The following is a 25,659-nucleotide window of genomic DNA, read 5'->3' on the forward strand; positions in this document are numbered from 1 at the left end:
TACACAGCACTGCACGATGAGATTTCAAGTGAAAAATGTAAAGTCATGTTTAATACCAAAAACACCCCCAACAAAAACAACAAATCACCCCCACACTAGAGCTACTATACTGGTCTGTAACTACTCTACCACACTCTAAGGCAAATTGATTCACAACAGTGTCTGTATGTTTATAGCACAAGAATGTCTTACACAGATGTACCCGAAATATTTTATAACCATAAATATGAATAACAGAGTCTTCCTAGTCAGACCTATCTAATTTCATCAGCCTTCTGAAATTATATCTTTCACTAAAGCAGCCTCAGGGTACAAATGCAATAAGATAACATTAATTAAAATACATAAAACCATCCAGGAGTAGCAAGTAGTATACTATGTTTTTTTAAAGAGCAGAAATTGAACTAAAAATAGTAATCACTATTTTGCCAGCTCAAAAAGCTAGGTCTTACATAGTGCCTGAAGCTACAATTCTATTACTACCAAGGTAGGATAATAATTAGTATGTTATTCACTTGTCTGGTATGCACCTAGCTTTGCAGGGCTGTGTATGTATGCTCACTTTGCAGCTAAGACCTTCGGTTCTCAGCAACCTGTTTGCCATTAAGCAGATTCCAAGAAGTTCAAAAATACAATGTGTCAACCCTTACACTATGTCAACAACTGTTTCACTCAAAAAAATGCAGAGTCTATACAATCCTATGGAAACACTCAGTATTACCACTGTTGTAGTTCAGATCTCTACTTTATCTGGAAACAAATTACTGCTGACTAGAAATAAAGCACCATCATTACCCATACCCTTGACTTACATTGCAATAAACCCACCATAAATTGAAAATATCATGAGTAAAAAATGCATTTAATACAGCACTATTATTATTACTAACTACAACTACTTTTGCACTGTTGGGTGTTCACAGCAACCCTATCAGGTAGGTATTAATCGATAAACATGCTCAATGCCATACAACTAGGACATTATGAAGCCAGAGCTGATACCTAAACTTGTCAGACTCCAAATCCATGCATTTGACTGTACTATATGTTCCTTTGAAATGCAAACAAATATTTAAGATGCATAGCAACAAAGAACTTAATTTTATCACTAAAATTCCTAGCTTCTGCACACATATAGGAATCATCAATATGAGAATGCTATTTTGTATTTTGTGTTTTCATTTAAGATTATTTCAAGTTTTAGCAAACAACCCCAGCACAGAAATAAAATCAAGTCAGAGATGAGCTTCTGTAAGAACTGTTTTCCTAATGAAGTGAAGATACAATGATACAAAATAAGATCTCAGGTAGCAAAAGGCAGCAGTCCTTTACTTGCCAAATATTAAAATGTAACACCTATCAAAATGGTGGGATTTCAGGTGATTTTTTAAAAAATGGCTTTTTATACTTTGTTATTTACTGCTGTGTTTCCTACTAAAAACCATGCCATTTTTATAACATGAAAAAAGATAAGAGTCTTTTAAATTTGAGAAAAACAAACAACATTAATAATACACAGTTGTACCAATAGGCTAATATTATACACACAAACTTAAGTTCAGAGCTTATCTGCAGAAGTCATACACAGATAGGAGATAAATGAATTTAATGACCATGGGCTATGAATTCAGAAGGCTTTGTTATCTTTACCAAACCATCAAGTACAATTCATGTTACCCTGGACGACTGTTCAGCTCATCAGAGACCCTATTTCCTCATTTGCAAAAAAGAATACTGTAATACTATCTATTGAACATGGTCATTGTAAGAATTAAATAAGCAACACAGACATTTATGTACACACATACACATTCATAAACTGTTAAGTGCCAACCAAGAGTTATTTATTATTATCAACCAAAACTTTTAAAATCTAAACTGAAAGATCCTTAAACAGACAGTACTCTCAATTCATTTATGTGACATGAGTTATCCATTTGTACTTTAGCTTCTTTTGTAATCCAAATCTCACTGCAGAGGCAAAGGAAAAAAGTTTCTATGTATGCATGTATGTATATATGTGTATACATACATAAACATCTATTGAGATTTATATATTTATATTTTTCCCAAATGAGATCCTCAATAGCATGAAAAATCATTACTCCTTAACTCTTTCCAATACATATTTATGCAAAAGAGTTTAGACTGTATAATACAGCCAGTTTTAAATCAGATTTCCATTCAATTCACATTAAAGTGCCTATAAACTGTGATAGGTGCTTTTAGTTATGTATCTTTCTATTCTAGGGGAACATGTGGAGGTTGGCTTGTAGAAAAGAAAATCTAGAGACAGAACAACCAATTAGCAGGCTTTGCCATCATGAAGGTGAGAAAAAAATGAAGACATCTGGGGACTGAAAAAGAAAACAGGTTCCAGAGACATTTCCAGCCCTATTGACAAGCTACCTCCATGAAGTAAAAGAAAAGAATCTTAAAGAGGCAGGAAGATTTCCAGCTGTGGTGCCTGTTGCAGACTGAATGTTTGTTCCCCTCCAAAATTCATGTGTTGGAATCCCAACTCCAAATGTGATGGTACTGGGAGGTGGGGTCTTTAAGAGGTGATTAGATCACGAGGGTACAGCCCTCATGGATGGGATTTGTGCCCTTATAAAAGATCCTCTACGAGCTTTCTGGCCCTTTTCTGCCATGTGAGGACACAGTGAGAAGATGGCCATCTATGAGCCAGAAAGCAGGACCCTAATCTGCCAGCACCTTCATCTCGAACGTTTTCCAGCTTCCCGAACTGTGAGAAATAAGTGTCTGTTGTTTTAGAGTATTTTGTTACAGCAGCCTGAACAGACTAAAACAGTGCCTGTGGGTGTGGGGATGCTTATGTGAACTAAGGTAAGGAACAAAGGCAGTTCTAACCGGGTTAAAAGTGGTGGCAACTAGCAGGGTGTGGTGGCACGTGCCTGTAGTCTGGGCTACTAGGGAGGCTGAGGCGGGAGGTTTGCTTGAGCCTGGGAGGCACAGATGCAGTGAGCCAAGATCATGCCACTGCACTCCAGCCTAGGTGACAGTGAGACCCCGTCTCAATTCAAAAAAAGAAAAAGTGGTGGCAACATACATGGCTGGTAGGAATGTAAACTGGAACCACCAATTTGGAAGACTTTATTAAACAACCTACACACCCCTTACAATTCAGCAATCCTACTCCTAAGAATATACCTAACAGAAATGCCTGGTAAGTGTCTACCAAAGGCAAATACAAGAATATTCATAGCATCATTATTCCCAGTAGCCATAAACTGGAAAACCAAATGTCTGTCAACAGTAAAGTGGATAGGCTGAAGTATATTCATATAATATATACAGTGGGAAAAACATGAGCTGTTGCTACTCACAACAACGTGGATGGTTGCACAGACGTGGTCAGAATGAAAGCACATACTGAATCACTTCATGATTCCATTTACACCAAGTTCAAAGAGGGAACACTTGCCTACAGTGATAAAGATACAATGGGAGGGGTACTGTCTGGAAGGGGCAGGAGGAAGGCCACAGGAGGGATAGGAATGTTATCTATCTTGACCTGGGTAATGGCTAAACAGTTGCATATATATGGAAAAATCAAGCAGTACACCTAAGATCTGTGTGCTTTCCCTTAATGTAAAAGGTTAATGGGTAAATAAAAGTCTCCCAGCCCCAGAGCATTACAGTGACAGTAAATCCCCTCCGAAAACAGCTCTCTGGCTGCTGCTACCTAACAATAAAACAGCCTAACCTCAGAAAATCAAGCAATAAAAGCATCTCAACAAATTAAAGTCCTCAGTACAAGTAAATAGCGGTATACTTCTCTCTCCTGAGGAAGTCATTAGCTAAGTATTCTGGACATGGCTCAGATTCTTCAGCCATAGAACTGTGGTCCTTACATAGTAAGTCATTTCCTTTCTTCTTCTTTCTCTAACACCCCAGACAAAACTAACTGATCCCTCCTCTGTGTTACATGAACAGGTTTCTCCACGATAACACTTACTGTCTGTGAACCCCTGGGAGACAGGCCTGGGGCCCATTCTCTTTTGTCTCCTAAGCACCTGCACGTTGCCTCAGCACAGGGTTGAAAATCTGTAACTGTTTCCTGAATTTAGTAAACAATTCAGCATGTCTTCAAATAGAAGTCCCTTAAAAATTCATGGCTAAAAATCAAAAGTCACATCTTCTTTCATTAATATTTAATTATCCAAATAGGTCCAATCTTACACGTGCTATTATTTTTTTTCATTAGAAAGTTGATAATCCCCCAGTGTTATAATCCTTGAAGAAATAAAAATGTCCCATAGTTTAACATACTGCTTAGTATTATTTCATTGTAGTATATTTGCTTTCTAAAACTTACTATATCAAAAGAATTTCCTACATAGGCTATTTTTTTTTTTTTTTTTTTTTTTTTTTTGAGATGGAGTCTTGTTCCGTCGCCCAGGCTGGAGCGCAGTGCCGCGATCTCGGCTCACTGCAACCTCCACCTCCCAGGTTCAAGCAATTCTCTGCCTCAGCCCGCGAGTAGCTGGGATTACAGGCACCCACCACCACACACGGCTAATTTTTATATTTTTAGTAGACACAGGGTTTCACCGTGTTGGCCAGGCTGGTCTTCAAACTCTTGACCTTGTGATCCACCTGCCTCAGCCTCCCAAAGCTCTGGGATTACAGGTTGTGAGGCACCGCACCCAGCTACAAAGGCTATTTCTTAAAGTTCTGTGATTATCTCCTCAGAAGAGGTAGGAAAAGAAGAGCAAGTATCCAGCATGGAAAAGGGATATGCATCCACCTTTGTATTATTAGGTTTGGATACTAAGTGTATTTTGTTGCATAGATTATGCACAAGACAACTTCATACTAATCACACATACCTGTCCATAAAAACACGGCTTGACTCCTGGAGTCAGCTAAACTTTACCTCCAAAGTAACATAAAGTGGTTGCGCCATACAAAGTAAAACACTTTAAGAAGATCTGAAAAGAAAAAAGCCAAAGAAAGCTAATCCTCTACTTCTGATTAAGGAGCTTTGAAGAAATGGACCAACGCTGGTCTGCTGTTTCTGATGAACGAGAGCAGCAAAAAGGCTAGCAGAAGAAAAACCAGAGAGCTGTGGTTGGCCCATCATTTCCCATGTGGACCATGCTTTGAGACCCAACCTGATCGATTCAATTCTCTCTGAGGAGAAGCTTGGCAGGGACCCAGCGGAGTCAGGTCACACCCAAGAGGTCAAAAACATCTCAATGACAGCAGCCTTGCCTATCCAGGAAGGAGAACGCTCAGACTGATAAAATATTTCACTCATGGGACCAGAGGACTGGAGTGGGGAGGATGAGGAGGGTGGACAACTTCTACCACATGTATTTTCCTCCTTTGTCCACTTTAACCAATAAACAGCCTTCTCTCCCCCTTATTAATGCCTATGTGCTTAACATAATCGAACCACGTGGCTAGGTTATGAACAATCTGCAACAATCTAATTCCCCTGCCCAACCTGGTGTCCACTGACAACATCAACAGCTATCAAATCTTTTTAAAGTTTATTTCTACGCATTCATTTATTTTTATTTCTCCCCCAACCCTCCTTTAAAAATCCAAGTGTGAAAGAAGATGGTTCTATAGAGTCAACTAATATTTCACAAGCACACTAAGAAGACACAATGGGGAAAGGATAGTCTCCTCAATAAACAGTACTAGGAAAACTGGATTTCCACACACAAAAGGACAAAACTGGACCCTTATCTTATACCATACATAAAAATCAACTCAAAATGGATAAAAGACCTAAACATAATACCCGAAACCATAAAGACTCCCAGAAGAGAACATAAGGGAAAAGTTCCTTAACACTGGCCTTGGCAATGATTTTTTGGATATGACGCCAAAAGCCTGGGTCATAAAAGCAAAAATTAATAAATGGGACTACATCAAACTACATCAAAACCTTTTCTGCACAGCAAAGAAAACAATCAACAAAATGAAATGGCAACCTATGAGACTGGGAAAAAGCATTTGCAAACCATATACCTAATATGGCGGTCACGATCCAAAATTTATAAAGAACTCATACAACTCAATAGTAGAAAAATAAATAACCTGATAAAAAATGAATAAGTCACCTGGATAGACATTTTTCCTAAAGAAGACATAAAAATGGCCAACAGATATATGAAAAGAAACTCAACATCAATTAATCATCAAGGAAATGCAAATTGAAATTAAAAGCACTATGAGGTACCACCTCACACCCATTAGGAATGCTGTTGTCAAAAAAGTCAAGAGATAACAAATGTTGTTGAAGGTGTGGAGAAAAGGGAACGTTTGTACACTGTTGGTGGGAATATAGACTGGTGTAGTCATTATGGAAAACAGTATGGAGGTTACCAAAGAAACTCAAAACAGAACTACTATAGGAGCCAGCAATCCCTCTTCTGGGCATATACCCAAAGGAAATGAAATCACCATCTCATTAAGATATCTGCAGTGCCATGTTCATTGTAGGATTACTTACAATAGCCAAGATACGGAAACAACCTAAGTGTCCATCTACAAAGGAACAGATAAAGAAACTGTGATATATTCATGCAACAGAATATTATTCTGCCTTAAAAAAGGGGATCTTGCCATTGGCCACAACATGGACGAACCTAGAAGATATTATGCTAAGTGGTATTATACCAGACACGGAAAGAAAAACACCACATGATCTCACTTATATGTGGAATCTTAAAAAAAAATTTAATATCAAACATACAGAGATAGAGAATAAAACAGTGGAATGGAATGGGGGAGGTGGGGAAATATAGGTTCAGAGGATACAAAGTAGCAGATATGTAGGATGAACAAGACTAGGAATCTAACGAACTGTACTATATTTGGGATTCCTGATAAATGAACAGATTTTAGCTGCTCTTGGCACAAAAACAAAACAAAAAAAATGGGGAACTGTGAGATGATGGATATGTTAATTTGGTTCACTATAGTAATGATTTTACACTCTCTATGTATCATACCATAACATCATGTTGTACACCTTATAAATGATTTTTTTAAATAATCTTTTTTATAAAAAGAAGAGGGTTCTCACCAATCCAAGTCACTCGCCAAGTGGGGTGGCCTGAGAGCCACAGGTTAAAGGCACCATTTGATTTCTAGTAGTGAGCTTGACAATGAACGTGTTCACAGTGAAACCTAAAGGCTTACTGGCTAAGAAACTGTATTTAAAATTTTAAAATACAAAAGCAAAAACTGGTTGAGCTCTAGTTTCAGTTCACCTATTTTATGCGCTAAAATTGTCTAACTTCAATATCCTGTTATAGATAACCAAAGCATATTTATTTAAATAATGTACCTCTCAATCTTTTTTGTCCACCAACTAACTTAACAGTAAAATAGGGAAAAGATGATAAAGACCTGGAAAAAGAACAAATGTAACTGGCACATACTCTGTGACAGGCCTCTTAGGCACTTTACATATGTTATTTCCTATAAGCCCCACAACAACCTTTCAAGGAGGCAATTACTATTTTCAGTCCTCTGGATGAAGAAAGCTGGGATGCATAAAGCTTAGGTCACTTGTCCAAGGTCACAGCTGGTGACAAAGCTAGGATATGCAGAAAGAACTGAAGGGCACCAAAACCTCAGTCCTACCCCTAGACCATGGTACTCCCACAGGCCCTCCTGAGCTCTCCGAATGGAAACCAGGGACTCCCCAAGGTAAGCTACTTTTTGTCAGTGAGCTTAACATGTTCCTTGCGGAGGCTGCTGTTTTCTGCATTATTACTTCTGCAGGTCTCCCAGGACCCAGTTGGATACAGAACCACCACTGCTGCTGTTACAGCAACTGTCTGAAAAACACAGGATAGCCCTAGGCAGGGTAGAAGAGTCTGGGTAGAGAGAGAGAGGGAGAGAGAGAGAGAAAACACACCCATGCACTCACACTAGCAAGTAGTTGTAAGAGGGTGTATGTTGAATGGCACAAGTAAAAATAGTAAAAATAACTGCAATAATGGAGAAGTAAAGATAAATCTGAAAACATCTAGAACAGTGTTCGCATTTCTTTTCTGATGGGTGTGGTAGGAATATCAGTATCTAGAACATTAGTCCCCACTTTTTAGATTATTTGTATATTTGAAATATTTTGTTAAGAGTGAAATTGAGGCCAGGCAGTGGCTCAAGCTTGTAATCCAAGAACTTCGGGAGGCCAAGGCGGGAGGATCACTTGAGCCCGAACTTTGAGCCCAATCTTTGAGGAGTTTGAAACCATTCTGGGCAACACAGTGAGACTGCATCTCTACAAAAAAAAAAAAAATTGTTTTAATTAGCTGGATGTGATGGTGTGTGCCTGTCTTCCCAGTTACTCCGGGGGCTGAGGCAGGAAGACTGCTTGAACCCAGGAGTTCAAGGCTGCAATGAGCCATGATTGTGCCACTGCACTCCAGCCTGGGCAACAGAGCGAAACTCTCTCTCAAAAAAGAAAAGAAGAGAGATCATTTATAGATACAGATATACAGATATCAGTATAGATAAAATAAATATACACATCTGGGGCCGGTCACAGTGGCTCATGCCTGTAATCCCAGCACTTTGGGAGGCCACGGCAGGTGGACTGCTTGAGCCCAGGAGTTTGAGACCAGCTTGGGCAAGATGGCAAAACCCTGTCTCTACCAAAAATACAAAAATTAGCCGGGCATGGTGGCAGGCGCCTGTAGTCCCCGCTACGTGGGAGAATCGTCTGAGGATGGATGGCCACAGTGAGGTAAGATCATGTCACCGCACTCTAGCCTTGGTGACAGAGCAAGACCTTGCCTCAAAAAATAAAATAAAATAAAATAAATACACACATCTGAAAGGTTATCCAGACTATTAACTATTAACAATGAGACCTCTAGGGTATGGGAAGAGAGAACAGAGGAATTTGTACTGAATACTTAAAACAATTCTGTATATTGAAGTAAGATAAAATCTAAGGAATACTCACTCACTCGTTTTTCTTTTTTTAATTTTTTCTTTTTTTATTTACGTAATATTGGATCACTCATAAGTTTTCAGTGGTTAATTACTACAGTTTAAGAAGACGTGTGATTTATTTTTAGATCTGACCCAGCAGATCATACCTCTCCCTTGAATTACATGGTCTTCTTTTGGCTTCTAAGATGTCACACTCCTGTCTTAGTGGCCACTGCTCCTCAAGCCCCCTTTGCTAGCTCTTCCTCATCTGTCCAGCCCTAACCTGACCGTGCTATGTAAGTCTTCTCCGTCTTCACCCCCTCCCTGGGTGACCGTTATACTCCCAAACCTACAGGCCCCTCTCAGACCTCTGCCCTAAGCTCTAAACTCGTAAGTCCAACTGCCCAGTCCATATCACCACTAGGATGCTGATGAAACACCTCAAATGATGGTATCCATGGCTGAAATCCCCACCAAAACCAGCTCCATTCCATCTCCATTCACAGCAGCCTCCTGCTTCCAGCTGCTCCGACTAAGATCCTCAGAATTGTCCTTGACTCCTCTCTTTCTATCACACCCCACATTCAGTCCATCAACAAACCGTGCTCGCTCCACTTTGAACAAATATTCAGAATCCAGTCATTTCTTGCCACTTCCACTGCTCCTACCTGCATCCAGTTCTCCACCATTCTCCCAAACCAGATTACCACACAAGAGCCTCGCCACAGGTCTCCCTGATCCACCTCAGCACCCCTAAAGTCTGTTCTCACCACAGCTGCCACAGGACCCTCATAAAATGTAAGTTAGATTGTTACCCTTGCCTGGAGCCTTCACATCTTCGTTGGCAGCAAAGTCAAGGCCCTTTCCGTGTCCTAAACAGCCCTACAGGTTGTTTTCCCACCTTCAGCCCTACCCTTAGATCCTTCTGACTCCTCTGCTCCTCCTCCCCTCACTGATCCCATTCCCACCCTGCTGACATCCTCCACTCCTGGAATACCCCTTCCCGCCATATGCACAACCCAGGGGATCCTCCCTCAACTCTTTCAAGTCCTCTCCTCGATTTAAAAATCACATCCCGGCCAGGCTCAGTGGCTCATGCCTGTAATCCCAGCACTTTGGGAGGCCAAGGCGGGCAGATCACAAGGTCAGGAGATCGAGACCATCCTGGCTAACACGGTGAAACCCCGTCTCTACCGAAACTACAAAAAATTAGCTGGGTGTGGTGGCGGCGCCTGTAGTCCCAGCTACTTGGGAGGCTGAGGCAAGAGAATGGCGTGAACCCGGGAGGCGGAGCTTGCAGTGAGCCAAGATCCCGCCACTGCACTCCAGCCTGGTCGACAGAGCAAGACTCCGTCTCAAAAAAAAAAAAATCACATCCCCTCCTAGCCCATCCCATGATCACCCATCCCCCCGTCTAGTTCATTTTTCATCACAGCACTTACAGTTTGTAATGTCAATTACGTACTATGGTTAGTTACTGTCTATAGTCCTGACACTGGGTGCAAGTGCCACCAAAGTTCAGATTTTCATCTGTTGTGTCCACTTACTATACCCCTAGCACCTAGTGGGTACTCAATAAACACATGCTGGATGAATACATAGGTAACCTTTGCCCAGCCACTTATTATCGCAAAGATTTTAAACACATTCAATGCAAAAAAATTCCATTATCACCATTTTGCTGTTTTTGTCTGGAACTTTCCAAAACAATTTTCAATTAAGCATCTCCCCCAAAACCTCACTGCCCCACATCCAGTGCTGGTCTTTGCTGTTCCTGTCGTTGAGAAAAGCCCCCTGCTTTTTTTTTTTTTTTTTTTTTTTGCAAGTGGGGAGAGGCTTAGAAGGTTTGACCACAAGTGTTAACAATTATCTCCAAATGTTGAAATTTCTAGTGATGTTTACTTTTTAGTCTCTTTTTGCCTGACTCTTGCCATCATGAGCACATTTTCCTTTCATGATCAAAGAAAACCACAATTGGAAATAATCCTCCTCTTCAAAAATAAAAATAAAACTAAGTGAGACCACAGTTGAAATCATGCATTTGCCATCATAGCTCTGAAATGTGTGGCCGAAGAAATCCCACACACTCCTTTCCCCCTCTGAACACAGCCCAAGTGAGGCGGCACCACCACGGAGGGTGTGCTCCAGCACTAGTTTTTTTAAATTGTATTAGTTCTGAACATAGACTGATGTCACTGGGTAATTTGAAGACAATTAACAACAAACCAAAACTATCTTTAAATTGATCACTTAAAGATACAGGTGGTTCACCAGATTTAACAACAAAATCATGTTGGCTCAACATGCCGGTTTATTTTTTTTATTTTGCCTAATCAGCAATCTGTACACAACTTTGTGCCAATGTCTGGCCTATTTTAATATTTTTTTCTCCTGCTCGAACAATATGCATGTTATTTTTTCCCCTCTTAATACCAGTGTTCAAATGGTGAAAGTTGTTTTCAAGAGAGTATATGGGCTCAGGGCCGCAGCATTTATCCAAGCCCACAGGAATCACTGAACTGAACTAAAAATATTTGATGAGCCTTCTTAATGCTTATCTTCCAATAGCAAATACAAGAATAATAACACTAATAAAAGCCAGTATTTTCTGAGCACTTATTTTGGCCAAACACTGATCTAAGCACTCCAAGTTATCTACCCAAAGCCTGTGATCCCCACTTAAAAGATGAAAATACAGAGGTACAGAGAGGTCAAGAAAGTGACTCAAGGTCATACAACAGTAACTGGCAGAATTTCAATCCTGGCTCCAGAGTCTATACTCTTGTAGCACTGTGACTGCTGGGTGTCTGCTGTACCTGCCAACGTCTTTAGAGATGCTTCCTCCCACATCCTCTAAGCTCTATTCTGCCTTTGTTGCCTGGCAAACTCCTACTTAACCTTCAAAACCCGTCTTAAAACAACTTTTCCTGATACTCCTAGGAGATTTAATCACACTCTTCTTTCTACCCCCATATTCTTTGTTCATATGCTATTTCACTAACATGTAGACGAATAAGTCTCCCCCATTTGACTATGAGCTCTATGTGGAAAAGAGCTCCATCTGATTTATGCATTAACTCCCTACACTTAATAAAATGCAAAAGAATGAATTTACAAATTTGAGGCCTTTCTGGTTTCATTTGATAATATAACAATATTCATTACGTGCTGACTATTCTAGGTACTTTAAGTATTTTAACTCATTTAATCCTTACAATAACCCTACTGAGAAAGGCGCTATTATTGTCTCCATTTTGCAGATGTGGAGGTAGAGAAATAATTCAAAAATTCTATCACTCCCCAAGGCCAGAGCTGATAAGAACTAGAATTTAAACCCAAGCAGTCTGGCTCCATATTCACCACCTCCCTAATACATGTCTCTGAGGTCCACAGGAAAGGCTACACCCAGCTCTTGCCCATAATGCTACCACAAGGAACATGTCCTTCTTCTTCATGTTAATGGAGGAATAAGCGCCTGATGGATCTAGGAAAGCAGGGATCCTGTCTGCCTGGGCCAACATGTACACTTACTGGCTAGCATATGGCCTGTCATTAAAGAGGAAGTTCAGGAGATATTTGTAGAATTATCAAAAATCATTTCCTTTTAGCTTTGAAACAATTGGTTTTTGAAATATAATAGCAGCAAGCACTGTTCAAAGTGCTATACATATATTGTTTTATCCTCAAAACAACTATAGGAAGATGGTGTTCTTTTTAGTCCTATTTTACAGATGAGTCAACTGTGGCACCATGAGGTTCAGTAACTTGCCCAAGATCACAGCATTAGAAGGTAAACCCAGGATTCAAACGCAGGCCGACTGACTCCAAAGGCTTGTGGATTAAGTGTCCTGTGGCTGCTGTAAGAAACTGCTATAAACTGGGTGGCTTAAAACAACCAAAATTTATTCTCTCTCGGTTCTAGAAGCTAGAAGTCTGAAATCAAGGTGTTGGCAGAGCCATGATCCCTCCAAAGTCTTCAGGAGAGGACCCTTCCTTGTTTCTTCAAGCTTCCGGTAGCCCCAAGCATCCCTTGGTTTGTGGCAGCACAAGTCCAGTCTCTGCCTCCATCTTCGCATGTCTTCCTTCTGTGTGTCTGTGTGTCTGTCTTTATACGACACTCTACCTGTGTGTCTGTGTCCAAATTTCCCTCTTCTTCTAAAGCTTAAAGCAAGCCAGGATAAGCAAAACAAAACAAAAACAAATTTCCCTCTTCTTATAAGAAAACCAGTTATAAGGAATTAAGAACCCTAACCTACTCTATCCAGTATGACCTCACCTTAACATCTGCAAAAACCCTTTTCAAAATAAGGTTACATTTGCAGATATGAAGTATTAGGACTTCAAGTTATATTTTTGGGGGGGACACAATTTAACCCAAACAGATGCCCTCAATAGAACTGACTCCAGAGATGCACAGAGATAACTCGAGTCTCTTTAACCAGTTACCTTATAAATGCAAGATTTGCCAGTTCTCAAACTACCCTTCAGAGTAAGGAAATGGTTAATGGTTTGAGATTCAAGGTTTCTCTTTATACAGGTAAATGGAACACATCCAAAACATACATGAGAAACTTTCTTTGTCATAAAAAAGCAAGTCTTTCCCTAGAAGAGAAGCTAGTTAATATACCAAAAAAATTCCAAGGGCAGTACTTATAATCTGCCTACCTGCCCACTGCTAATTTATTGTGCACCTCCTTTTCTTGCACTAAAGCAACACCTTTGAATTTTGACCAATGAACAATAATTAAATAATTTGATAAGAGCAACCTATAATCATTGATATTTTATTTGTTAAACTCTTAATAGAGGTGCCCATTTATTTTAAAAGCTTGTGATTCTTTGGGATCTACAGCTAACAGTTTAAGATTACATGCAACTTTCAAATTTTCATTAACCTGACAATAACTAGCCTTCAAGGAAAAACATAAATGAGGTACATAATTATTCAAGTAAAAGGGTATGTTTTGAATTTATCTTATTAATAGCTTCACTGTTCTTCCGGTGTCTAGTGGCAAACTTGTGCATTTGCTCTACATCAGCTATACTTTGTTCACTTCTAAATCATGAGAAATACATTCACCATGCACTGGCAGCCTGATTTCCTCTGTATGCTAGAAAACAAAGAAATTTCCACAATAGGCTAATTCAGAATTTGGCCCTTTAGACAGATTTGGGGAAATGATCTGGTATGAGTAATTGTTAACCAACCCACTTCAAGAATTACTCTTTGAAATCATTGTTAACCAACCCATTTCAAGAATTACTCTTTGAATGACATCAGACACAACTAAATGAATATATTACGCTAGCATCACCTACATGGTGAAAAGCACCACGTAAGTTCCTTAACTCACTTTAAATACCAAAATACAGCATTCAAGTCAAAATGCACTATAGAGCAAAGCTGGTCAAAGCAAACATTGTGGTGAAAATGACATTTCTGAAAATCAAATTCTTATCATAAAATTCAATCAGCTTTCTTGTATTCTATTACCCTGACTGAAATAGAAGAGGAAGTACTAACAGGTTATTCCAAAGGATAATTCAATAATTTTGGAAGAAATGAATGACCTATTTTTTTTTTAAATAAAATTAGCCTTTCTCTAGAAAAATTATACCACTATTAACATGGAATAATTTAGCAAGTAAAATTCTATTTTACTAGTACACCACATTAAAATGCAATTTTCAGACTAATATATTTACAGAGAATATTTTGAGACTGCCAGTTGCTCTCCCCTGGCGGCTGGAACTTATCCTCCGTGATTATCCTGAGCACATTCTCAGGACAGAATGCTCAATGATTTGAGAAATAACTGATTTTTTTTTCCTAAAGAAAACATCGCAATACCAGTTACAGCCTTTAAAAGTATGTGTCACTCTATAGAGCATGTAGAAATTTTCTTTGTTTAAAAAATGCAAAGTAGCTACAATTACAACCAAATACAGGTAGCACTTCTGACATCTTTCTCACACTGCTTGGTCCTTAGACCTCTCTATCGTCCTGGGGAATTCCCAGTGTTACAATCTAGTAGCTCTTGTGTTTTAAGAAAATATTCAGGGTGTGTGTACATGTGTGTATCTGTGCATGTGTATTCACATATACTGAGTGCTTTCTCCTTTGCAAATTCTGGCCCCTTAATCTTCATCTAGTGCAACTCTAGCTGCATGCTCTCAAACAACCTTAGTGTGCCTCACCTTCCCCATCTGTATTAGGAGATTATAACAGTATCTACCTCTTAGAAGTACAGCATCAAATGAGATAATCCATGCAGTGCATTCATCACAGTGACAGTTGCCTTATACGGAGGGCTCATTAAACACTGACCTTTATAATTCCTATAGGATCCCATAAGATTCCTGTAGGGAAAGGAGGTAACTTGTTTAGGGTTACCACGCTGATCAAATCAAACCCAGAATCAAATCCCAACTGATACATTTCCCAAGCCTATCAAACTGTAATATGAAGTATCAAACACAGAGGGACTGTCATCTGTATTTTCTGAAGATAATAAAAGGGAGGGGAGACAGGTAAGAATAAAAACCCAAACCATGTAGTTGAATAAAAAGCATTTTAAACCTACAAAAGGTGGAGCATCGCTAATCTGAAAATCTGAAATCCAAAATGCTCCAAAATATGAAACAAAATATGAAAAGTGGCTAAATATCTTGATTACTTGCTCTATATAGCAAGAACTTTCACATGTTATCACAGTAAACCCTTCCCACAGCATGGCCAGGTAAGTATCACTAAAGATATTTTACAGATGGGAAAAGCACACGTGGCTCAGGGAGAAAAAGCTGTTCACCTCAGGGCACCCACCTATATCCGTCTATCCCAGAGTAAGGCCTGAATTTAAACCCAGATCTATACAGATAAAGCCTATGCTCTCTTTAGAACAACATGGGCAAGAAAAAAAGGTTAGGCCAGCTAGTCACTTGGCTTTGAGAATACACTCAGCAGGGTAAATGGGAAAGGTGCCACAGTTTTTGAGAATATGCCAATCAAGTTCATTTTTACCAAATTATCTCCAAAGTGCAAGTCAGTAATATACACGGCCAAAAATACGCCCCACATAGATCATACCCAATTCACAATTTGAAACCTGTCTGGATGAGTAGCTTGGTGTCAAGTTCAGGTGAGTGGCGTCTATACCCTCCCAGCTCCTGGGGTCTGTGACTTCCCCGCTCCTCGGAGCTTCAGACCCAGCAGCAGATTGCACTGAGGTGAGAACATGCCCCCAGGAGCTTCAGTCTAGTGCAAATTAATTTCTCCTTGGAATTTTAACTATTTTTAAGTGTATAGTTCTGCAGCATTAAGTACATTCACATTGTTGTACAATGATCACCACCATTCGTCTTCAAAACTTTTCGTCTTCCCCAACTAAAATTCTGTACATATTAAACAGTAACTCTCCATTCCTCCCTCCCCGCAACCTCTGGCAACTGCCATTCTACTGTCTGTCTCTAAATTTACTGTAGGCAATCCATACAAGTAGAATTGTACAATATTTTTCCTTTTGTGACTGGCTAATTTCACTTAGCATATGCCAGTTCTCTTTTGTTCCCAATTAGTTTGCTTAAAGAAACACCCCTGAAATGCACATCCTTTAGAGGAAACAAAAATGAACACACAAGAATTATTTTTTCCCTTTTACTCATTGCTAACAGGATATAAAAACACTAAGGATGCTTGGGAAGGAGGAAGAACGATAACGCCAACAAAACCATCCACAATCCCACCAAGAAACCATACTATTTTTGTTTCTATTCATTCTCTTATAATCTTTGGCTTTATGCAAACAAATTTTTTACAACTGCATCACATAGAAACATTCACATTGCGTTGTTTAACTTGACCATTTATCAAAATGATGTATCTCTGAGCATTTCAAAAATTAACTTTCAAGGTCAATACTAACGTAAAATAAATGTGCTTTAATGAAAATCTGTACCCAGCTCTCCTGTTGTAGAAATAAGTTTAAACTACCTGAAGTTTCGCTGATATAAAGAAATTGTTCTTGACAAGACAGCACTGTATTGTTAATAACTGGGGCTGCAGAATGTAGGCAAACGTTCAAACCTTCACAAATGTTCGTATAAAAATCATTTAAATGTTAAGCAAAATTGTATATATACTCCAAATGTGGCAGTCTATCTCATTATTATTTCTCTCATGGGAGAACAGCACAACAGGATCTAATGAAAATCCTGTTTTCTTTACAGGAAATAAAGATAATCATGCCACAAATCCACATTCTCCTCAGTTTTTTTTTTTAATTGGTTTTTCTTGCAATCCACATGTTTTCAGAACTAAGAGGAAGAAAAGATAAAAATTCAATAAAACACCTCACTTTATTTTTGTTTCTTATTTCTACTTGCAGCTTGTAAAAAAAAGATACACATATACACACACACACGTGTACACGTAACAGCAGGATCTAGTACTAGTAAAGGAAAATGATTTAAACTGAAATAAAATTCAAGTCAGCAGGAGATGACTGTGATCATGAGACAATGATACATAAACTGATGGAATGCAGAACTTCCTTTATTTTTCTTAGTAGAAATTATCTCAAATCTTAGGAAAAGAGGCATTTTTTGAAAATGACAGTGATCTGATTGCCAAGTCTCATGAATAAGAACAGTCAGTGTTAGTTTTGTTTCACCCCATTCACATATTTTCTGCTCAAATAATTGGAATTTGAATGCAGGAGGTTTTCCCCCCTGAATTCTGGAACATGGAGACCCTCTCCACAGTGATAGTATCCAACATATTCAGTGTTCATACTTCCTATCTCATTTAGGGAGAGCAGAAATGCCACGAATACAGAGACCACTAACAAGAGGGCCCCAAAGTCTAAGTTCCCAGAAACAGTAGGAACCTCCAGGAGCTGTAAGCCCCAATTCTCCCCAGTACTCCAGGCCTGGTTCCCTTCCTGTGTGAACTGTTTCCTGGGCCGTCTCCCTTTATGTCTCCAGCTCCATCAATCCTCTCCTCAGTCAAACCCCACTGCATCTTTCTGGAAACTGCTCCAAGCATGAGAAATCAGCAGCCTAGGATGGATGTCTCCTCACATCCCTGACAACTGAACCAAACACTTTTACTCTATATTGTTTTATCTTAACAAACATGCTTTTCAAAAAGACCCATCCTGGACTCTCTCAAATGAAAATTTTCAGTGAGCCTGCCCCACCTTGTCCACTTTCCCACTTGCTGTGCCAAGCAAGAACCATAAAGATATCAGAGAATGTTTAAGCTACTTCCTGAAGGAGTACTGAAAGGCGGTAAAGAACAGACAGGAGGGATGGTCGCAGGCAATGGCAACAGGGGATAAAAGCCGAAAGGCCAGAGAAAATCTGGCATGTCGTAAGAACGAGATGGAAAGCAGATCATGAAATATGTTCGGTGCCTCATCAAAAAGCTTAGACTTCATCCTGAGGGCAGCAAGGAGCCCCTGAAGAGTTGGGATGATATGCCCAGATCTGCAGAAGATTTCAGAAGATCACCTTGGAGGCAGTGTACAGTAGAAACAGAAAGAGACCAGGAAAAAGGCAAGTGCAGCCTCCAAGGTGAGAAGCAACCGAGGTGGGAGGGAAGGTGGAGGCACGCATTCAGAAACAGCAGGCTCCATGCGGGAGCTAGAGTCAGGGTGCCTTAAGGAACCATAAGATAGAGGTCCAGGTGCACTGTGGAATAGACTTAGCATCCCTTCTCCTGGAAGCTTTGCCCCACACACTCCCCACACCCAAGCAGGATAAGTGCTCGTCTGGGAAGCACTGAGTATTTCTCCCAGTAATACGTATCACATAGTACCGTCATTCATTCCTTAGCTGTCAGCCTTTCTCTATAGACCCAGAGCTCCGAGCAGGTAGAGGCAGTGGCCATCCTGGTCAGTGTCCACGTGTGGCATCTGGAACAGTGCCCAGCACTTGGGAAGCCAAACTGAGTGAACAGAGCTGGATAAGCCAGGAGGCCACTGCTCTCATTCAGGGGAGAGATGACTGTGTCATGGGAAAGGAATTCGAAAGATATAACAACTGAGCTTCTTAATTTCTCTCTAGTCACCATTCAAAACACTGAATGAAATGCTTTCCAAGTCAATTATGTTATGAAAATTCAACAGTAAATCTGATCTGTTGAGTGATGTCCACAAAAGCTCACATCCCTGTGGAAAGTCAGAAAGGATCATGGTTTGAGCCCTTTTACAAGCAAAAATTAGGCATAATTCTAGGCCACATAGAAACTGCCACCTCATTGGGATAACAAGTTTACCTTCTTTTGTTTTCAGAATAATTCTGCAAAGCCTCAAAGCAGAGGATGGAAACATTTCAAATCCTGCTGACATAGTCTGCATCTTTGCTTTGATTTTTAAATATGATTCCAAGCAGGCAGATAATGTTGTGACCCAATTACGGGGTATTTTGGAAGTAGTAGGCACCCAACTTGGGAGTGGAGCTGGTGGGTGTAAAGGGAAGAGTTACTAAGCAAGCACTACCACCTGCCTCTCAATCCTTCACGGGATTTTACAGAGAAGGGAGCTATGGCAATCAGGAAGTAATGCAACATCTCCCCTGACCCGCTTCCCATTTTCTCACCATTCCCAAAATAGACAGAGCTAAGGAAAATCATAAATATAATTCTCAGCCCTCTAGGGAAAAGCTCATTAAGGGCATAAATTTGGGTCCCTGGGAAAAAAGGGATGAAAGGCAAAGCTATTAAAAATCTCAAGAGATGAGACAATGGGAAATAAAGCCAACGGACAAAAAGGAACTAGAAAAACACAAAAACTATGGCCATTTCCTACACCAAAGCATACTTACAGGTAGGGCTACAAGCTCAACTGCCCTGGATACTCTAAACTCAAGCTCTTTAGAGTCAAAAGGTAAAGTTTTTGTTTAAAACTAAAAATAAAAATACTCGTTAAGTAAGGTCTTATCTCACATCAAGTATTGTTCTCTGCCCTTATACATTCACTGATGAAATCTTCACAACAATCATATTATATAAGCACAATTAGTATTCCTATTTGCAGATGAGCAAACTGAGCACTGTGTAATTCTGTTGTCAAAGTACAATTCTGTTGCCCTTTGTCATATGGCTATTAAATTGCAGAGCAGCACTGGGACTTGACCACTAAACCCCTGCTGCCTCCTTCTAGGGCTATCCTTGCACATGTTGTAGGATATTTAGTAGCATTCTTAGCCTCTTCCTACTAGATGCCAGTAGTTATCCCTCCACAGTCACCATGACCAAAATGTCACTGCCAAATGTTCCCCAGTGAGCAAAACTGTCCTGCTTAAGAACTACTGCCACAGAGATTTGAAAGGCCAAATCCCGAGTTCCCTTACAAAAGGAGTAGCAAATCCTGGGTGGTAGGCAGGAATAAAATTGAGTTAAGGAAAGATGACAAAGGAAGCAGCTGAAGGGTTTGCTGTAGTGGGAATTTTACATGAGGAGTCACTAGCCACAGCTCTTGCCACTCTCGCAGGATTAGGACAGCCTTCCTTCCCCTCCACTCCCATCACACACATGCCTCTACTGCAGCACCCTATAACCAATGTTCTGGTACATTCCTCTCTGTCCTCCTGAACTTAGCACAGTGCCAGGCACAAACTATGTACTCAATAAGCATTTGCTGAACAAAGGAAGGAACAAATGAAGCCGAGGTTTCTGGATGTCACCAAATGAATGTCTCTCTTCACCAGTGTCCTGGAAAAGGTATACACAGACCTTGGTTCTTGGAGAGGACAAGAGGTTCTGATCAGATAATCTGAAGAATCTGAGTCTGAATCAATGCTTCCCAAGGTGTCTCTACACCCAAATCATGCCTCTGCTGTGTTCAAAATTTGCAATGTGGTATATGATCATTTCTTGAAATGTCAAGGAAATTTTAACGGTATTAGTTCCCCCAGGAATGAAACAACTCAAGAAACCTAACTCATGCTAAGGAAATTCTGATTTATTCACTTCCACTGACAAACAATACCACCTAGCAAATTGTGATACTCAATGTGGCAGGTCGACTCTTGCCCAGGACAGAAGTCTACCTGAGAAACAGAAGGAAGATCAGAAGGTAAGAACAGAGCCAGCACCAAAGAGCAAGCAGGATGCTGCCAGGGAGAGGACCCATACCTGTAATCCCAGCACTTTGAGAGGCTGAGGCGGGCAGATCACTTGAGGTCAGGAGTTCGAGACCTGCTTGGCCAAAGTGGTGAAACCCCAGCCTCTACTAAAAATACAAAAATTAGCCGGATACAGTGGCGGGCACCTGTAGTTCCAACTACTTGGGTAGCTGAGGCAGGAAAACTGCTTGAACCTGGAAGGTGGAGGTTGCAGTGAGCCGAGATTAAGCCACTGCATTCCAGCCTGGGCGACCAAGTGAGACTCCGTCTCAAAAAAAAAAAAAAAAAAAAAAAAAAAGGAAATAATTTGTTGTTATTGTTTTGACACTCCTTCTTCACCCCACAATAGCAACCAAAACTAAAGGTGAATAACAGCAATTCCATGAGCAAATCATTCTGAAGCTTCCTCCAGCAATTCAAGGCTCACCCTGGAGGGAATGATACTGCAGAGGTCTGGGCCAAGCTGGCTATTACACAATTCTAGGTTCTATGGCTTTCACCCATCACCATTTCCTAGAATCACTAACTAAGAATTGCTAAAGAGTGTTGTTTTGCCAGAAAGAGGCCTGCATGCAAAGAATCAAATGTCAAGATACATCTTGAGGTTCACCTGCTGAAATTCACACTTCAACCACTTGCCCATTCTGTTCCCTTACACCCTCATCTTTCATCTTGGTGCTTTCCTTGTCATTCTCAAGCTATAATTCAAAAATAGTCACTGGCTCCTAGGGCACTTTCAAAATTAGCTCATTCACAGTTCCTAGGACCTTGGGTGACTCTATATTCCTGGAAAGCCCAGGGGCCCCATCAGCTGACCCACAAACTCCACATGTTGGCCTGGCCTCCATGACTCAACTCAATCCCAAGGGCAGGCCTCCCTGCATCTCAGGCCCAGATTCCCAGACTTACCAATTTCATGGACCATTCAGCGGCTAGATAAAAATATTCCTATCAAATCATAAAAGAATCTTACCCAAAAATGAGAAAGGCATAGTATCAGAGAAAAGGACATATCTTCTTATTTGAACAATTATGACATATTCACTACATCATTATCATCATTGTGATAAGAACAGTGAAAACCACTAACCAACAATAAATGACCTGTGGGGCTAACATTATGCTCTGCATATAGGAGATACTCATTTACTTTTATATTGTGTGGAAACTGAGCTCTGACTTACACGACAGGGACACATCCCATACCTCCAGTAATGCCAGGCCTTCCTTCTTCAACAATGGCATTTCCCTTTACCCTCTGGAATTCCGCAAAGTCTCTCCAATCTATCTCACCCTCTTAAACACACGTTTTTCCTTCTACCTCGATTCCAATATTCTGCATTCTTTTTTTTGAGACAGAGTCTCGCCCTTTCACCCAGGCTGGAGTGCAGTGGCGCGGTCTCAGCTCACAGCAACCTCCACCTCCTGGGTTCAAGCGATTCTCCTGCCTCAGCCTCCTGAGTAGCTGAAATTACAGGCGTGTGCCACCATGCCCGGCTAATTTTTGTATTTTTAGCAGAGACGGGGTTTCACCATGTTGGCCAGGCTGGTCTCAAACTCCCGACCTCAAGTGAGCCACCTGCCTTGGCCTCCGAAAGTGCTAGGATTACAGGCATGAGCCACTGCTCCCGGTTTCTGCATTCTTTTTCATCAACTTAAAAAAAACGACACTCTTCCTCCCACTCTAAGCATTCCTGAAGCATACTTGCCAATGAGTTACACTTCGGGAACTTCAGTTATTACCTAGCAAACAAAGTTTGCAAGATTTCCACAAGAGGAAAAGAGAGGGTAGAACTGGTAAACTTTGTTTATAACCACTGTCAAGTCATTAACCAACAACAAAGAAAAGCTTTAATCCATCCTTTTCTATACCATTCATTTCTTTCCATGTTCTCTTCTCGTATTTGTCCATGTGAATCTGTACATTTTATATATCAATAAATTATATATTGGGATTTTTCTCTGATTATAAAATAAATATACGTCCATTACAGAAAACAAGATAAGATTCAAACACCATGGAAATAAATTATATAGAAAGGGAATATCTCCTGTAACTCTACACACAAAGAGCTCTAATACCTTTAAACTGATCAAGCTTCTTACTTCCTGCCCAGTTGTGTGACTTGACCTTCCACCCTCTATGCCCTTCCTCTCTCCCAGCTCTCATCTAATGTCTGGAGTTAATGACCCACTCCTAACAGGGGTCCAGGAACCCTGGAGCCTGGTTATTAGAGGAACTAGAGTCACTCTCCCTTTATTAAAAATTATTTCAATGGGATAACAACTCCTCACTGACTCACTTAAAGGTTAATGAGGCTGAGTTTTGTGAGCCTCTTGAAAGCAAAATGCACTAAAAACACCAAATGGGATTGGTTTCCTTTGCTCTCTGCCCCATCGCAGCTTGCCAAGAAAAAAGAAAAAAAAGCTCATGATCCTGCTAATGACACTGAGTAGACACATTTCACCAGCCACCACTCCTGCTACTGCAGCAGCCAATCACAGGCATCTGTCCAACACAGTGACAGGGCTAACGTCAAATGAGAGTGAAAGTCGTATTCCAGAGACCAAGGGCTGCATTTCTCATCGAGGCGAGGAGACAAAGGCTGGGACACAGGAAAGGCTTGCCAAAATTTCACAAGGGTGGGCCTGGGAAGCAAAGCACAGGACCCCCTCCCCTGCAGCCTAGGTAGAGGTTTCTTTCTCAGACTATCTGTGTGCTCAAGAGCAGAAAGTCTCCCCGCAGAAAATGCTATGAAGTAGTTTCAAATGTCGAATACACTTTACCCAAATCTAATCATTACCTTATCTGCTAACTAGACTGGCAGGGCCATAAAGTTAATTTTATGACAACCATTTTATAACAAATGAAAACTATAAGGGAAGTAGGAATTGGGCAAAAAAAGAAGGGCATTGGACAAAGCAGTGACAAACCAGACAGGGAAACACAAAATCACCTCCAAATAATGCTCTAAACCAGTGGTCTCCAGACAGCGTTCATGGAAGACAATTTTTCCACGGATGGGGTTGGGGATTGGGATGAAACTGTTCCAACTCAGATCAACAAGCAGTAGATTCTCATAGGGAGTGCACAACCAAGATCCCACACATGTGCAGTTCACAACAGGGTTCACAGTCCTGTGAGAATCAAATGCCACCACTGATCTGACAGAGGTGGAGCTCAGGTGGTAAAGGTCACTTGCCCGCCGCTCACCTCCTGCTCTATGGCCCGGTTCCTAATAGGCCACTGACCAGTTCAGGTCCGAAGCAGGGGGCTGGGGACCCCTGCTCTTAAACGAAGACCTCTCTCCTCGAATGGCTGCATCACAGATCTCTAGACTGGGACAAGAAGGACCCGATAGACAACCAGAGGGTGACTGCAGCTCTCTCATTTTACAGATGGGAAAACAGGCCCAGAGACATAACTGACTTTTTCCAGGTAACACAGTGAATTGAAGTAAGGGACAAGCCAGCCCCAAAGGCAAGTCTTTGGGGTCCCTGGTTAGTAGTCTTTCCTCCAAATCCCCCCAGACCCTTTATTATGGAGAGTCTGTTACTCTGCCTCTGACAAACCATTTCGGCTGAGAGAAATGCCGTCAACACATATCAGCATGCAGAATATGCACTAATAACACATTAAAATCAAAATGGCTAATCTGGGTTTATCTTCTGACATCTAATTTCATTTGTTGGTAGTGCAACATTATTGAAAATAAATGAACACAAAACAGTTTTAAAATCTGGATAGAACCTTCTTGAAAACATTCAAATCATTCTGAAGATATGCAGTTCCAATCAAATTTAATTCTAAATAACAAATCAAAGATGCTTTAAAAGAGAATGCTTACTGAATAATAATGGAATCAATTAAAGATATTTTCATATAAGATAAAAGTTTAAAGCTCTATTGCTGTGAAATCACGAGCATCTACCTTTTCAGAGGGGTTTTCTTAGACAGCTGACATTTATGCATAGATGCTTACAGCATAAGATGATATATACAAAACCTTAATAGGATAATAGGACACATAAAAAGCACTGAACAGACCAGGCGTGATGGCTCACGCCTGTAATCCCAGCACTTTGGGAGACCGAGACTGGTGGACCTCCTGAGGTCAGGACTTGGAGACCAGCCTGGCCAACATGGTGAAACCCCATTTCTACTAAAATTACAAAAATTAGCCAGGCGTGGTGGCGGGCACCTGGAATCCCAGCTACTCAGGAGGCTGAGGCAGGAGAATTACTTGAACCTGGGAGGTGGAGGTTACAGTGAGCCAAGATCGCGCCACTACACTCCAGCCTGGGTGACAGACTGAAACTCTGTCTCAAAAATAATAATAATAATAATAATACTAGGCACTGAACAAATGCTGGTTTCCTAACCCCATGTAGGAAAATAAGTATTCCCCCCATAACCAGTAATAACTTATTACAATATTTTCCTAAAAGTCTGTCCCACCTGCTCCCCTCCCCCGCCCCCGGAAAACTTAAGGTGTTATATCACAAGGGTATTGTCCAGTTTTGTTTTGTTATTTATTTACTTATTTATTTATTTTATTTATGTATTTATTTTGAGACGGAGTCTCACCCTTTTGCCCAGGCTGG

The 25,659-nt window shown here is 40.6% G+C and overlaps 1 protein-coding gene across 48 annotated transcripts in view, besides 1 other annotated feature; it reads right to left on the bottom strand.

Moving 5' to 3' along the window:
- The window catches only part of APBB2 (amyloid beta precursor protein binding family B member 2), a 404,516-nt gene that overhangs the window by 375,847 nt on the left and 3,010 nt on the right, over nucleotides 1-25,659 (bottom strand). The gene's annotated exons all lie outside the window — the stretch shown is intronic.
- Nucleotides 3,654-3,733: an enhancer, noted in NCBI's record as "active region_21505". NCBI's record gives its function as "activates an Ori minimal core promoter by ATAC-STARR-seq in GM12878 lymphoblastoid cells {active_cell/tissue: GM12878}" and the evidence as "EXISTENCE:reporter gene assay evidence [ECO:0000049][PMID:35858748]".

The sequence above is a fragment of the Homo sapiens genome, chromosome 4 (assembly GCF_000001405.40).
Source record: "Homo sapiens chromosome 4, GRCh38.p14 Primary Assembly".
NCBI classification, from domain to species: Eukaryota; Metazoa; Chordata; class Mammalia; order Primates; family Hominidae; genus Homo; species Homo sapiens.